Source organism: Homo sapiens, chromosome 14 (genome assembly GCF_000001405.40).
Source record: "Homo sapiens chromosome 14, GRCh38.p14 Primary Assembly".
Taxonomy (NCBI): Eukaryota; Metazoa; Chordata; class Mammalia; order Primates; family Hominidae; genus Homo; species Homo sapiens.
This window is the reverse complement of record NC_000014.9, coordinates 58,007,645-58,025,181: the sequence shown is the minus strand read 5'-3', so window position 1 is coordinate 58,025,181 and position 17,537 is coordinate 58,007,645. Positions and strand designations below refer to the sequence as shown.

At 37.7% G+C, this 17,537-nt stretch overlaps 1 protein-coding gene across 1 annotated transcript in view; it reads left to right on the top strand.

The window, feature by feature from the left end:
* The window catches only part of ARMH4 (armadillo like helical domain containing 4), a 151,453-nt gene that overhangs the window by 127,032 nt on the left and 6,884 nt on the right, over positions 1-17,537 (top strand). Inside the window, exon 6 of the mRNA NM_001001872.4 lies at positions 13,032-13,063. Coding sequence (NP_001001872.2) covers positions 13,032-13,063 — 32 coding nt within the window. The remainder of the gene's footprint in view (positions 1-13,031; positions 13,064-17,537) is intronic.

Sequence of the window (17,537 nt, the reverse complement as noted above, 5' to 3'; positions counted from 1 at the left end):
GTAATGCAGGCTCATTTCATTTTATTTCCCTTCACTTTATTGAACTTTGCAGATATTGCATTTCTTAAAAATTGAGGGTTCGTGGCAACCTGCACTCAACCAGTCTGTTGGTGCAATTTTCCCTATAGCATGGGATCACTCTGTGTCCCTGTGTCACATTTTGGTAATTCTCTTGATATTTCAGGCTTTTTCATTATTATTATATCTATCATGGTGATCTGTGATCAGTGGTCTTTAATGTTACTACTGTAATAATTTTGGGGTGCCACCAACAGCATCCATATGAGATGGTGACATTAATTGATAGATGTTGTGTGTGTTCTGACTGTTCTACTGACTGCCCATTCCCTAATCACTCTCCCGTTCTTTAGGCCTCCCTATTCCCTGAGACAAAACAATATTGAAATTAATGCAATTAAAAGCCCTACAGTGGCCTCTAGGTGTTCAAGTGAAAGAAAGAGACACACATCTCTCACTTTAAATCAAAGGCTATAAATGTTAAGCTTAGTGGGGAAGGCATGTTGAAAGTTAAGATAGTCCAAAAGCTAGGCCTCTTGCACCAGTTAGCCAAGTTGTGAATGTAAAGGAAAAGTTCTTGAAGAAAATTAATAATGCTACTCTAGTGCACACACAAATGATAAGAGATAGAAACAACCTTACTGCTGATGTGGAGAGAATTATAGTGGCCTGTGTAGAAGATCAAATCAGCCACAACATTCCCTTAAGCCAAAGTCTATTCTAGAGGAAGACCCTAACTCTCTTAAATTCTATGAAGGCTGAGAGAAGTGAGGAAGCTGCAGAAGAAAAGTTGGAAGCTAGCACAGGTTGGTTCATGAGGCTTAAGGAAAGAAGCTGCCTCCATAATATAAAAGTACAGAGGGAAGTAGAAGCTGCAGCAAGTTATGCAGAAGATCTAGCTAAGATCATTGATGAAGGTGGATACACTAAACCACAGGTTTTCATTGCAGATGAAACAATCTTATATTGGAAGATGTTATATAGGACTTTTATAGCAAGAGAGAAATCAGTACCTGGCTTCAAAGCTTCAAAAGACAGGCTGACTCTCTTGTTAGGGGCTAATGCCACTGGTGACTTTAAGTTGAAGTCAATGCTCACTGGCTATTCCTAAAATCCTAGGGCCCTTAAGAATTATGCTAAATCTACTCTGCCTGTGCTCTATAAATGGAACAACAAAGCCTGGATGACAGCACATCTGTTTACAACATGTTTTACTGAATATCTTAAGCCCACTGTTGAGACCTACTCTCAGAAAAAAAGACTGCTTTCAAATTATTACTACTGCTCATTGACAATGTACCTAGTTACCCAAGAACTCTGATGGAGATGTACAAGGAGATTAATGTTGTTTTTATGCCTACTAATACAATGTCCATTCTGCAGTTCATGGATCAAGGAATAATTTTGACCTTCATGTCTTATTATTTAAGAAATACATTTCATAAGGCTATAACTGCCATAGATAATGATTCATGATGGATCTGGCCAAAGTAAGTTGTAAACCTTCTGGAAAGGATTCATCTTTCTAGATGCCATTCAGAACATTCATGATTCATGGGAAGAGGACAAGCTATCATTAACAGGAGTTTGGAGGAAGTTGATTCTAACCCTTATGGATGACGTTGAGGGGTTCAAGACTTCATTGGAGGAGGTAACTGCATATGTGTTAGAAATAGAAAGAGAATTAGAATTATAAATGGAGCCTGAAGATGTGACTGAATTGCTGCAGTCTCATGATAAGACTTGAATGGATGAAAAGTTGCTTCTTATGGATGAGCAAAGAAAGTGGTTTCTTGAGATAGAATTTACTCCTGGTGTGAACAGTGTTGAAATGACAACAAAGGACTTAGAATATTACATGACCTTAGCTCACCAAGCAGTGGCAGGGTTTGAGAGGATTAACTCTAGTTTTGAAAGAATTTCCATTCTGGGTAAAATGCTCTCAAACAGCATTGCATATATAGAGAAATCCTTCATAAAATGAAGACTCATTCAATGCAGCAAACTTCATTGTTGTTTTATTTTAAGAAATCGACACAGCTACCCCTGCCTTCAGCAACCACCACCTAATTAGTCAGCGGCCATCAGCATTGAGGAAGACCCTTCATCCAGCAAAAATAGTCTGTGAAGGCTCAGATGATCAGTAGCATTTTTTGGTAATAAAGTATTTTTAGTTAAAGTATGGATGTGTTTATTTAGACATAATGCAATCTCATACTTACTAGACTATACTATAGTGCAAATATAACTTTTACAGACACTGAGAAACCAAAAAATTTGTGTGACATATCTTATTGCAGCATTTGCTTTATGATGGTGGTCTGGGACTGAACCTACAATATCTCCAAGGTATGTCTGTGGTTGGTTTTAATGTACAAAATGAATGAAATTGGTATGGCAAAGGGCCAGCTTGCCTATATGGTGACTGAATTAGATTAGTGTCTTAGTTTGAGCTCTCCCTAAAAGTAGACCCTGTGACAGGATTGGGTATAAGGAGTTTATTTGGGAGGTGATCCCAGGAAGTATGGAAGTATGGAGAGGGAGTGAGGAAGTGAGGTGGGGAGGGTGGAAAGCCAATCAATAGAGGAGATGCTAATGAATGGATTACTGCTGGAGCTCCTTGCTGCTGGGGATTCTCTGGGAAGCTGTGTAGAACACATGTCAGAAATGAGGAAAACTCAGGGATTTACCTGATGTAATGAGGCAGAATAGTGGCTTCCCCAAAAGATGTCTACCTCTTAATCCCTGGAACATGGGGATATGTTACCTTACATGCCAAGAGCTACTTAGCAGTTGTGATTGACTTAAGGACCTGGAGATGGGGAGATTATCACAACGGTCTTTCTGAGAGAGAATTAGGAGGGTTAGAGTCAGAGAAGAAAATATGACAGTGGGAGGCAGAGCTTGGAGAGTGGCGGTGGGGAAGAGAGAGAGAGAGAGTTGAAGACGTTATGCTGTTGACTTTGAAGATGGAGGAATAGGCTATGAGCCAAGGATTGCATGTGGATTCTAGAAGCTGGAAAAGGCAAGGAAAAAGATTCTCTCCTAGAGCCTCTAGAAGGAACTAACCCTGTTGACACCTTGACTTTAGGCCATGAGTCTGATTTTTGGCCTTTCTGCCTCCAGAAATATAAGATAACAAATGTGTGTTGCTTTATTCCACTATGTTTGTGGTATTGTTATAGTAGCTTTAGGAAACTACTATACTATACCAGTGTATTAATATACTTGCAGCCCTCCTTGGTTGCAGATGGCTCCTAGGGTGATACCTTCTCTGTGTTTCTGGCCAATCCACTGAAGGCTAACCTGAACAAAGGTTTTGTTTGATCAATGAAATGTGAAAATGTCCTCATAAATGCTTGGAACGAGCTCTTCTGGGTTGTTTCATATGAACAGTCCAGGTTTCTGAGCCTCTCTGACCATTCCCTACCTGTCTCTTCTCCTGGCCCTTTCTCCTCTGGCTGGTCTTTAAATGTTGGGGAACCAGGATTATGATCTTGACCTCCAGTCTCACTCTGTGATGGATAATTTTATGTGTCAACTTGACTGGACCATGGGTGCCCAGGCATTTGATCAAACACTATATTGGTCGTGTTTGTGAGGGTGTTTCTGGATGAGATTAACATTTTGTATTAGTCCATTTTTATACTGCCATGAAGAAATACCTGAGACAGTGCAACTTACAAAGAAAAAGAGGTTTAATGGACTCAATTCCACATGGCTGCGGAGGCCTCACAATCATGGCAGAAGGCTAAGGAGCCAAAGGCACATCCTACATGGCAGCAGGCAAGAGAGCATGTGCAGGGGAATGGCCCTTTATAAAACCAACAGATCTTGTGAGACTTAATCACTATCATGAGAACAGCATGGGAAAAACCCACCCCCATGATTTAATTATCTCCCACCATGTCCCTCCCAAGCCATGTGAGGATAGTGGCAGTTACAATTCAAGATGAAACTTGGGTGAGGACACAGCCAGACCGTATCGCATTTGAATCTGTAGACTGGGTAAATACTCTCCTAATGTAGGTGGGCTTCATCCAATCCACTGAAGGCCTAAATGGAACAATAAGTCCAACTGCCCTATGAAAAGGGGCAATTCCTCCTGCCTGACAGCCTGAAAACTGAGACATTGTTTTTTTCCCTCTGCCTTCGGGCATGAAACACCAGCTTTTCCTGGGTTTTGAGCCTGCAGGCTTTTGGACTACATCAGCTCTCCTGGTTCTCAGGCCTTTGGACTCAGGCTGGAACTAAACCAGTGGCTCTCCTAGATCTCCAGTTTACAGGCAGTAGATCTTGGAAAGTCTCAGTTTTCATTATCACATGAGCCAACGCCTTATAATAAATCATTCTCTCTCTCTTCAGCATTGCTCATTCTGAGTTTTAAGGTTCACCCTAAGATTTCTGCCACTCAGTTGGTTGTTGCCCAGTGGAGAGCTAAGGATGCTGCTACCCTGGCACACAGGACTGAGTTGGAAAAGTCCTTGGCGAACATGGAACTAAGAGATCCAGTTTATTTTCTCTGAATGAGAAAGACATATACAAAGAGAGTCCCCTCACCCCACACACACCACAGACAGGAAGAGAGAGACAGGGAGAGAAAGATAATAGAGCAACAGAACCAGGCAGACATCCAGACACAGAGTCATAGAGAAAGAGACAAGGGGAGGGAGAGAAAGGACAGACAGACACAAATCACAATGTGATATGCAGAGACACAATGAGAGACAGAGACAGAGGGAGACACATACAGAGGCAGAAAGAGAAGCACATTTGTCCGAGGGAACAGAGAGGAGAAGGTAAAGGAGTCAGAATACCAGGTGAGCTAATACACGCTGCCTCCCAGCTTGAGTATCCCCCATATCCAGAACTCAGGAAAGCCCCGTGAGCTGTGATAAGGTCTCCTTGGCCCACCTGCCCTCACCCCTCCCCAGAGTGACCCATGGGTGTACTGAACAGGCTTTAGAGCCATAAAGGTCTGAGTTCCAATTCCAGATCAGCTACTCTTTAGCTGTGTGACTGTGAGCACTACTTGAGCTTCATTTTCGTCATCTGTAAAATAGTGGATAATAGTATCTACCTTGCAGAATTTTTGTGAGGTGTTTAACAAATCTTAATTATTATTTCAGACAAATCCTGGATCTCTTCTGGCTCCCATCCCTACCCCTTTAGTAAAAGGGAATTTATGCATATATCTGGGATAAATATAGTCCATAAAACTTTGTCACTGGAAATAAATGAAAATTAAACATACTCCTCTAAATAAACAGTTTGGGATACTTTTCAGCCACAGCCCATTAAAACACATCCATTGGTAGGATGCATGGAAATGTTATTTTATTTTTTTAAATTATATTTTATTATTATTTTTTTGAGACAGAGTCTCACTCTGTCACCCAGGCTGGAGTGCAGTGGCGTGATCTCGGCTCACTGCAACCTCCACCTCCTGGGTTCAAGCGATTCTCCTGCCTTGGTCTCCTGAGTAGCTGGGACTACAGGTGCATGCCACCATACTCGGCTAATTTTTGTATTTTTAGTAGAGACGGGGTTTCACCTTGTTGGCCAGGGTGGAGGAAATGTTATTTTATCTGCAGCTGCATCTTCGATCTTCACACGTTTTTTGTTCAGCAGAAAAACTAGGAGAGTGGCAAGTTGCTACACCTGGGACTCGTATACACAAGAGGGTGCTGGCGAGCATGAGAGAGGATCTATTTTTAATAACCCATGACTACTTTTTTATAAAAAAATTAGTTTTTAATTGACAAATAAAAATCATATATATTTATCAACATGACTATTGAAATTCAAAACAACATGATGTTTTGAAATATGTATACATTGTAGAAAGGCTAAATCAAGCTAATAACATACTTAGTCTTACCTCACATACTTAGCATTTTTGTGGTAAGAACACTTAAAATCTACTCTTTTAGCAATTTTCAAGAATACAATACATTGCGATTAACAATAGTTATGTGTTGTACAATAGATCTCTTGAACTTATTCCTCCCATCTATATCCTTTGACTAATATCTCTCCAACGTGACCCCCTCCTACACCTGGTAACCACCATTCTCTGCTTCTGTGATTTATACTTTTTCAGATTCTACATATAAGTGAGATTGTGCGATATTTGTCTTTCTGTGCCTAGCTTATTTTGCTTAACATAATGTCCTCCAGGCTCATCCATGTTGCTGCAAATGATAAGATTTTATTCCTTTTTTATGGCTGAATAATATTCCACTGTGTTTATATACAGTAACCACATTTTCTTTATTCATGTGTTGACTGGCACTTGATTCTGTGTCTTGAGTATTGTGAATAGTGCTGCAGTGAACATGAGAGTGCAGATATCTCTTCAACATACTGATTTGTTTTCCTTTGAATATGTACCCAGTAGTGGGATTGCAGGGTCACATGATAGTTCTATTTTAATTTTTTGAGGAAACTCCATACTGTTTTCTATAATGGCTGTACCAACTGACATTGCCACCAACAGTGTACAGGGATTTCCTTTTCTTTACATCCTGGCCAAACCTTGTTATGTTTTGTCTTTTTGATAATAGCCTTTCTAATAGGTGTGAATTCATATCTCGTTGTACATTTAATTTGCTTTTCACTGATAAGCAAATTAATTAGTGATGTTGAACATTTTTCATGTACTTTTTGACCATTAGTTTGTCTTTTTTTTTTTTGAGAAATGTCTATTCAGTCCTTCCCCCATATTTGTTTTCTTGCTATTCAGTTGTATGAGTTCATTATATATTTTGGATATTAACCCCTTATCAGATATATAGTTTGCAAATATTTTCTCCCATTCTACAGCTTGTCTTTTCACTCTGTTGGTTGTCTCCTTGGCTATATGGAAGCTTTTTAGTTTGATAAAATCCCGGTTTTCTATTTTTGTTTTTGTTTCCTGTGCTTTTGGAGTGATAGCCAAAAAATCATTGCCATGTCCAGTGTCATAAAGATTTTCCCCTTTATTATCTTCTAGTAGATTTATAATTTCCGGTCTTATATTTAAGTTTTAATTCATTTTGAGATGATTTTTGTATATGGTGTGAGATGAGGCTGTAAGTTTATTCTTTTGCGTGTGGATATCCAGTTTTCACAAAACAATTTATTAAAGAGACTGTCCTTTCCCCATTGTGTGTTCTTAGCACCTTTGTTGAAAATCAATTGATGGTAAATGCATGAATTTATTTCTGGGCTCTTGAGTCTGTTCCATTGGTCTATGTATCTGTTTTTATGCCAATGCCATGCTGTTTTGGTTATGTAATATATTTTGAAGTTAGGTACTTTGATGCCTCCAGCTTTGTTTTTTTTTGTTGTTGTTGCTGTTGAAGATTGCTTTAGCTATTTTGTGGTTCCATACAAATTTTAAGATCGTTTTTCTCTATTTCTGTGAAAAATGTCATTGGGATTTTGGTAGAGATTGCATTGAATATGTAGATGGTTTTTGATTATATGGACATTTAAATAATATTAATCTAGTCTGTGAACATGGGGTATCTTTCCATTTATTTGTGTCTTCTTCAATCTCTTTCATCAATGTTTTATAGATTTTAGTGAAGAAGTCTTTCACCTCCTTGATTAAATTTATGCCTGAGTATTTTTTTTGTAGCTATTGTGAATGGAATTGTTTTCTTGATTTCTGTTTTAGATAATTTGTTGGTAGGATATAGAAATGCTTGATTTGTGCATGTTGATTTTGTATCCTGCAAATTTACTGAATTTGTTTATGACTTCTAACCATTTTTTTGGTGGAGTTTTTAGTTTTACATTTTTATACAAATAAGATTATGTCATCTGCAAACAGCGACAATTTAAGTTCTTCCTCTTATTATTTTGAGACAGGGTGTTGGTCTGTTGCCAAGGGTGGAGTGCAGTGGCATGAACACAGCTCACCGCAGCCTCAACCTCCTGGGCTCAAGCAATCCTCTCACCTCAGCCTCCCGAGTAGCTGAGACTACAGGTGTGCCACTACACCCAGCTAATTTTTGTATTTTTTGTAGAGACAAGGTTTTGCTATGTTGCCCAGGCTGGTCTTGAACTCCTGGGCTCAAGTGAGCCACCCGCCTCAGCCTCCTGAAGTGCTGGGATTACAGGTGTGAGCCACTGTGCCCAGCCAAAGTTCTTCCTTTATAATTTGGATGGCTTTTATTTGTTCTCCTACCTAATTGTTCTGGCCAGGACTTCCACTGCAAAGTTGAATATAAGTGGCAAGAGTGAGCATCCTTGTCTTGTTCCTGATCTTAGAGGAAAGGCCCTCAGCTTTTTACCATTGAGTATAATATTAGCTGTGGGCTTGTCATATATGACCTTTATTCATGCCTACTTTCTTTTCTGTGTACCTTTCTCTCTACTAGAAGGAGACCAGAGGCCTTATTATAGCACTGTGCTCTTGGATTTGCATTAAATAAAATTTCAAGAAAGATAACAAAACAGTGGGATTAGAGTGAATTTGTAGCTGTGGGCTGAGCTGTGAGCCAACTGGAAAGGCTCTAACTTCTTGTGTTCACTATCAGCAATCTACTGTCAACTTTAGTTTGCAAAGGTTTATGGAATTTTGGGGGTTTTGTTGTAAAATGTGTTTTTTTCCTTAATTTAAAAGTAGTGAGAAATTGTGATTTGCTAAATCTGAAAAATACAGAGAATAAAAGACAAATCATCGATAATTCTACTACCCAATTAATCAATCAACTGAATTGATTAATTCAGTTAACATTTTGATGTGCATTGTTCAAATTTTACACGTAATATTTTTTATCTACAAACTCAGGCTTACATTATACTACACTGTTTTTTTCCTTTGCAATGTGTAAGTTGAACAACATCTTGCCATTAAGTATTTTAAAAATAATTTTATTTTCATATAATACTCTATAGACATAACCTAAGGTTTTGTTTTCCCTTGAGTGTTTAAACCAATCCTGTTTTGTTGGATATTAATATTGTTTACATGCTCCTTTTTATTATAAATATTTTGTGAACATGATTTAAACAAAATTTTTGTGCACATTCATGGTTAATCCTTTAAGATACATGTCTTCTATAACTGGAGCTTCATATAAAACATTTTAACCTTAATAAAGCTTTTGATATGGATTGCAAATCTCCCCTCCACCTCTTTACCTTTGAAAAGCTGTATCCATTCATACTTCTTTAATTACTGTGATGTTTGTCTATTTTTTAAAAATTACAGTTGTCAGTTTTCCTATTTATAAATAATCATCTTTAAATTTTATTAAATTTAAATTTAAATTTTATTTTATTTTTTGTAGAGGCAGGAGTCTCGCTATGTTACCTAGACTGGTCTCAAGCAATCTGCCTGCCTTGGCCTCCCGAAGTGCTGGGATTACAAGCATGTGCCAGTGTGTCTGGCCATCATCTTTTTTTTTTTTTTTTTAACTAAAAATATTTCTTTATAATTTTCTTTCTTCTTGCATTGCATTCTCTTATCATTTTCTACTCCTTAAGTTTTAAAATGTTCATTGCATAAAATTTATATTTATTGCAACTTGAATGTTTTACCGAAAACTGTTTACAGGATCCTCATGAATGAGAATCATGCTTACTCAAAGATTGTGAACTCACTTAAATAAATATTTTCTGAAAGAAGGAAAAATACTTATTAAGCACCTGAGTGTTCAATACTATGCAGAGGACCCTGGCGGATACCTGAGAAGCACAAGGCATGGCGCTCCGGGGTCTCATGTTCTTAGATGGGGAAATGTCATCAAGCTCACAGTCTAAGAATAGTGTTTCCTCAACCTTTTTAGACCTGTGCCCACCAGAATACTTACTCACTATCCTCTCTCTCCAGCCAAGAATATTTTGCCTGGCTTTCCCACTCTGTGTTATGAATTACTGAACTAGATCAATGGAACATGCTCCTTCAGATATCTGTGCACATGTAAACATCTTGCACTGATGTGCCTTCTTGCCTTCAGTGGAGAATTTCTTCATTAGATAATCATCCAAAGTAGGACTCTGTGAAATTTACTCTAAGAACCTAAGATGTGGACAGTTTACCGGTGAAGCCTGGATTGATAAGGCCTAAGTTAAAATGCTTCTCTTGGCGATGAGCTTCCTACAGTACACAAGCCTATCAGTGCCTTGGACCCTGGGCTGGTCTTTGCCTCCTTTTCCTCTTCTCCAGGCTATCCCTATTCTGCACCATCTTGCCTCCTCCACTAGGTGCTCATATTAACATTCCTGCCTCCACCTCTCTTTTGATTTGCCCTATTTATTGTATAATACCCAACTGAGTCCCTGATTGCAAGCATCTTGCTTCAAAGGTTGGTGGGTTCTGCCTTGCACTCTAGCAACTGGCTTTCCTCCTCTGTTCTTCACTCTTTAGTCCCTACATTGCTGCTTGTCATCCACTTCTTATAGACTTGGTGGCCTAACCCCTTTCTCACTGGAATTAGGTCTTATAACTTCTGCTGACCCACTTTAGAGCATAATGCCTGATCGAACACAATGTACATAATAAATATTTGTTGAATGAACAAATTGGAAACATTATCTTGCTTCTATTTAAATATGTGTCATGGGCTTAAATGAGACGTATTTACAAAATACTCGTATTTTACTTACCTTTCTTCCCCTCCTGCCCTGGATTTCTGTACTAAACACTTTGCATTTGTTATTTCTAATCTTCACAACAATCTTGCAAGACAGATGTTGCCATCTCTCTATATAAGGAAGCTGTGGGTCCAGAGTTTCTCCAGATTCACTCAGTGAATCAGCGGTGGATCTTACTTCTCCACGGAACCACTCCTAGAATCACTAACCCCTGGCCTTATTCTTGAGGTTCCTAGGCTTTCTTCTTCTGACCTCCCCATGACCCTGCTCTTATCCTGATTGATCACCACCGTCTTTGTCTGAATCCCTTTGAGACAGAGGGAGCTAGGAGGGAAGGACAAGAGAGAGGTCTTGACAAGGGCTCTGCATGAGAGATTAAAGCCAGGACCTAAGGGAGGTAGAAGGGCCAAAGGTAGCTTCACATTTTCAACTTGAAGGAGCAGAACAGTGGTAGTATCACCAAAAGAAATTGGTAGTTCGAAAGTCTTACTCCTGGGTTTTAAAATCAGGTTTGAGTTCCAATGACTTTCTTTCTTTCTTTCTTTTTTTTGAGATGGAGTCTTACTCTGTTGCCCAGGCTGGAGTGCAGTGGTGTGCCCTTGGCTCACTGCAACCTCTGCCTTCTGGGTTCAAGTGATTCTCCTACCTCAGTCTCCTGAGCTGCGATTACAGGTGTCTGCCACCACGCCTTGGTAATTTTTTTTGTATTTTTAGTAGAGACGGGGTTTCACCATGTTGGCCAGGCTGGTCTTGAACTTCACCTGCCTCTGCCTCTCCAAGTGCTGGGGTTACAGGTGTGAGCCACCGTGCTCGGCCCCAATGACACCTTACTCTCTGGTTAACCATGAGCAAGTCTCTTAGCTTCCCTTGAGCCCCAGTTTCCTCATCTTTTCCCTGAGCATAATCTGACCTGACTTTCATGTTTGTCATTGGTTTGCTGTTCAAGTGATGCAATGCATGTGGCATGCTTTGTAAAGGGTGGAGCTGTGTGCATGCTAGCCATCATCAGTATTTTCAGATATATTATTACTAGAGTCAGATTGTAAATGGAGGCACCGACTTCTTGGTTAAAGTATATCTATGCCAGGGGCCAGCAAACTGTAGTCCATGGCCCATATGTAGCCTGCTGCATGCTTTTATATGGCTCCTGAGCAAAGAATGCGAATGCTTTTTACATTTTAATAGGGTTGAAAAAAATCAAAAGAAAAATATTTATGACATTTGAAGATTACATGAAATTCAAATTTTAATATCCATAAATAAAGTTTATTGGAACATAGCTGAACCCATTTATTTATGTATTGTCTACGGCCACTTTTGTGTTATACAACATCAGAGTTGAGTAGTTGTGACAGAGACTATACGCTCTGCAAAACCTGAGATATTAACTATCTGACTCTTCATAATAAAAGTTTTCCACTCTGTTTCCTTCCTTCCTGTCTGTTGAAGCTTCTGAAAAGCAGAGAAAATTTCAGGAAATCTTAAAAGTTTTTTTTACACTTATTTCTTTTGTTTGATAATGAAGGTAAAATGAGAATATATTTGTCTTTTTTTCCTCCTGTCTGATGCTTTTAAAAGTAAATCTTCATTCAATGTTGAAACATTATTATGACTTTGAAAGGTAATTAGGGTAAAAAACCACCAACAAACTCAAACCAACCTTAACGTGGCCATTCTAACACATATTTCAAAAATGAAATTGATGCTTCCTTCTACTCTTGGCTTATTTATGTATTCCCAAATGGCTGTAACTATGGTCTACATAAAATTTCATAGTTGATCAGCCTTTTTCAGTTGGCTTTGTGAATATTACTTGGTCATTGCTTTTATTTTTCATAGTGGTTGTATTGCTATAGAATGGTACAGTTCACAAGTTATATGTCTTTCTGAAATACTTCTTATTCTTGCCTTTCATCCAATCCTTGCTTCTTCAAATATGATTGCAAATGCTTCTCTTTGGAGCCAGCTCTGGGCAACCTGGGCTTGCTTATTTTCCCTTCCTCCCTTAATCTCTGCCCTCTGATATTGATTCAAGCGCAGCATTCCCACTGAGCTTACAAACTGAGAAAGATGAGAAATAAGCCAAAGAAAAAGTGTCAGAGAATAAATGAACTTGATATTTTAAAGGTGATTTTCGCTTTGCCCACACCTCCCCACTAATCATTCAATAATAATAGAAAAAACATTTAGCAAACAAAAATATTCTCCATTTATGTAATAATGATATGAGGGATGTTTGTGCTCTCCATTGCATTTCTAAATAAGTAGAAATAAAAATAAGGCCATTATCGTCATTATGTTATATTGTTAATCCTTTTACTGTATTTAATACAAAAAACTCTTTAATTTGTCAAATTAACTTAATGCCATGAATTATAAGTAAAAGATGGTTATTTCATTTTATTATCTTATTTTTTTCCTAGTGAGAAGCTGGATGGAAAAATTAAAAGACAAGGTAAGAAAAGTATTTTCTTCCATTGGTTTATTTTTAGGGGCATATAGCTTTATTAAGCAAAAGATCTTCAGAGTAGTAGGGCTTTGGTTTATTATTCTGATTCTGGTAATCTATCTAAAGATTCAGGGCAACTTGCAGTACCTGCAAAAAAGAAGCCCTTCCCTTTAAATCCCTTCTTTTAGAATACAGGAGACACCTTATTCTTTGGAGCACCATTCACTCTTATAAAAGTGTAAGAATTTACCTTGTTTGATATGCTCCACAGAATAATATCATTGACATATCAAGGTGAAGTTTCTTTTTGGGAATTTCAGGATTGTCATCTCATTCCATCTGTTTTTTTTTTTTTTTTTCTAATATGAGACTCTCTAGGTGTGTAGTTTATCACAGTGCTGCCACTTAGTAGGTATTGATTAGCTGACCTGTCTGGAATGGCCAACTACAGATAAAGATTTTCTTTTTTTGCATTAATTCTGCCATCTACATAGTGATTGACAACGTTAACTTCCAGGTTGATATTGTTCATTTTCTTTTGATTTTCAATCCTCTCCAAGTTTTCACTTTTGGTTACTTGGTAATTTTAAACTGAATTACTCATAAAGATATTGATGGAGTCCTGAATTCCTTGTTGTAGCCAGTGTCAGGTCCCATTATTACAGCCCAGCTCAGATTTCACTGGGATTTCAGCTAAATGGAAATCTTTTCAGTGGTCAGATATTGAGTTGCCTTCAATTCACCAGTCTCAATATATTTCTGTTGATGGCATTCCATATCTTTTTTATTACCTGCAGTCAATTTCCCTCATATTTGAATTATTAATATTATTTTGCTACAGCTTAATATTAAAGAATACAACATTCAATTGCAAATAAATTTATATAATTGTATTAATTCTCCTTACTATTTCTGCTTCTCAGTAAAATTTAGCACAGATAGTTTTTGAGAATGAGACTATTTTGTGTTCATATAAATTAAAAGTGACATTGAAAAATTTTAAGCCTGTTGAGGTCAATGGAGGCCATTTTGGTATTTGTAATGGGTCCAATTGTGAAGAGAGGTGGGCTGGGATCAGATGGACTGAGAAAAACTTGGGGGGAAGAAAAGCTCAAAAGTTTAGAACTGGATATATTTACATTGGTAGTGTTTCTTGTTATTTTTTCAGGGAAAAATATGATGCAATGAAAATTAAACAGGATTTGTTATGTTAACCTAGGAATTCATATATCATTGTTTCCATAGAAAGTATCCTGAGTTATTTAAGAAAGGGACCAAAAAAAAAAAGGCTTAAGAAAATAAATTTTGTCATGTAAACAGTTTTGAAATTTGATATTGTTAAATTTCTTATCTGCATGTATATATAGCTTTACCATTCCCTAAAAAAATCTGTACAGCTTTAGAGAAAGGCTATATTTTTTTATTCCTATGAACCCTTTATTCTTATCTTGTCTCAAAATCTTGGTACCTTTTTCTTGCTCCTTTTTATCAAGAGAAATAATTTTGTATGTGACCGCTAGTTTTCTGGCTTATTTTGAAGTTTTTCCAGCTTTCTCATCACTTTCTTCCGTAGTATTTTTTTCAGCATATTTTAATTAAAAAAATTGTAAGAAGAAAATTTTGAATTCCAATAGTGACTGTCATATGTGCCTATATCTTCATCTTTTGACTCTTGGAGGAACTCTTTAAATCTTCCCCATATTCCCTGCCTTCTTCCATGCTTGAACGATTACATGCTAATTTGATATGTATATTTTATATGTATATACACACATATGTACATATATCTTCGTTTAACAAGTCTTACAGGTGATCCTGATACATGCTGGAGTTTGAGAAGATACATGTACATAGATCTTACACACATATATATATATACATATATCTTCCTCACTCTCTGTTTGTCCATCCATCCATCCATCCATCATCTATTAAAGTCTTGTTAGTCATTATCTTCAGAAACTATTTGAGTACAAAACTCTTTGTCTCTTTGATGAAAGTCACAGAATCCCTTAGAACTAAAAACTAAACTACATGCCCAACCTGGCTCTTCAGGCAAGCCAGGACACTCTGTCAGGTTAGCTTCATTTAATTGTTCCAGTATTGAGTCTCTGTTGGTTAGCTGGATTCTAGAAAGGGTGGTGTTTTCAAAAGTTCTGAATTATTCCTGTTGTTGTTGTAGTTTAGTCTTTCTATATTAAGATTAAGATCAGCTGTGAATGATAGCCAATCCGCCCCCACCCCCAATGACAATGGCTTAGCCAAGATAGAAGTTTGTTATCTCTCTCTCTCTCTCTTTTTTTTTTTTTTTTTTTTTGCAGAGTCTTGCTCTGTCACCCAGGCTGGAGTGCAGTGGCATGATCTTGGCTCACTGCAACCTCCGCCTCCTGGGTTCAAGCGATTCTTATGCCTCAGCCTCCTGAGTAGCTGGGATTACAGACATGCACCACTATGCCAAATTAATTTTTGTATTTTTAGTAGAGATGAGGTTTTACCATGTTGGCCAGGGTGGTCTTGAACTCTTGGCCTTATCTGACCTGCTTGCCTCGGCCTCCCAAAGTGCTGGGATTACAGGCATGAGCTACTGTGCCCGGCCCCTATTGTCTCTTGTTTTTAAGTCTGGAGATAGTCACAGGTTAGTGGGGAGTTACACAGTGAGAGCGGCCCAAGCTTCTTCTATGTGATGCTCCACCATTTGTGACCTTCATTCCCAAGGTCACCTCATGATCCTGGATGGCACTTCTGACTTAGCTATGTGCGTATTCTAGCCAGAGGAAGGAGGAAAAAGGGGGAGGCTAATGACACCCCTTTCTTTTTAAAAGGGAGGATAAAAGCACTGTCATTCTTAAAGGGGAAGAATAAAGGCTCTGCTCCCCTTTTATAGAACGTATCTTGAAATTTTCTTATGCCACTGACATATCATCTTCTTGGTGAAACTTACCACATGGTTGTACCCAGCTTCCCAGCAGGCAAGAAGTCATTTTTATTTTGTGCCCAGTCCCAAACTGGAAGCTCTTTTGCTATAGAAGAAGAAAAGAATGGATATTGAAGGACACTTCCTGTATTAATTCCATCATTAACTGTCTTCTTGGCTAATCCAAGTTGGTGATCCTTGTTAGGCAAGTTTTAACTTGGCTACCCATTAGTATATCTTCTCAGCATCTAAACTGATTTTCAAAACTGAAGATGCATAACAATTTTAATTGTGTAATAAAGACCAGACCTGTTGTTATATCAATAAAACCAATCTATTTCTTCTAGCTTTAGGAAACCATCCAGAAAATGCATGGCCCAGACTATACTTCATAGCAGCGATTCTCAATGTATGGTCTGGACTAGCAGCATCAGCATCACCTGGAGCTTGTTGGATATGCAAATTCTCAGACTCCACCATAGACATACCTCCCAGGAACTCTGGGAATGGGGCCCAACAATCTGCATTTTAGTAAGTCTTGCAGGTGTTCCTGATCCATGCTGGAGTTTGAGAACAACCATTGCACAGAAATCGTAAGGATGCTGTGTCAATTCTGCAGACTTTAGGCAGTACAGCATATCATTTGGTTTCCTATGGCTTTCTTGATGACAGCTATTCTGAATAAATATGTTATCCTAAGAAGGAAGGATACCTTTCTTGTTGACTTCAAACAAACAAAACTTCAAAACCAAACAAAAACAAGTATATTTAGCAATATTTGACTTATAATTTACTTTAAAATTTAAAACTTTATTTGGAAATAATTTAAAATTTACAGATGAGATACAAGAGTAAGAATGGTGCAAAGAACATTCCTACACCTTTACCTGGATGCGCCTGCTGTTTGCATTTTACCCCATGTGCTTTATCATTTGCTGTCACATTCTCCTCTTTTTTCCTGAACCATTTGAGGATAAGTTGCATGTGTTGTGGCCTGTTTACCCTTATATATTTCAGTGTATATTTCCTAAGAATGAATATATACTTTAAGCAGATCTCTGTGCAGTTATTAGCTGGAGTATATTCAATATCGATATAATACTTTTATGGAATCTGGCATTCATATTTCAGTTTTTTCAACAAACCCAAAATATCCTTCATAAGAGCATTTTTTCTCCTCTCTCACAGAATCCACTTTAGGATTATGTAACACATTTAGTTGTCATGTTTCTTTAATTTCCTTTAATCTGGAACATTTTTATAGCCATCTTTTATCTTTTATGACATTAACATTTTTAAAGAACACAGTCTTTTTAAAAAACAGAATATACTTTAAGTTTGTTGGATGTTTTCTCATGATTAGATTCAGGTTATGCATTCCTGGTTGGAATAATACATTGGTGCAATTGTGTCTTTCTCAAGGTGTCACATCTCGGGGCATGTGTATATGCAATAATTTGGACAGAGAAAAAGTACTAGGCAGAATTTATAACTTAAAACTGTGTGCATGTTGTCTTATTTATTTTCATTGCTGAAGAAATCAAGTCATGAGCAATTCTAACAGAG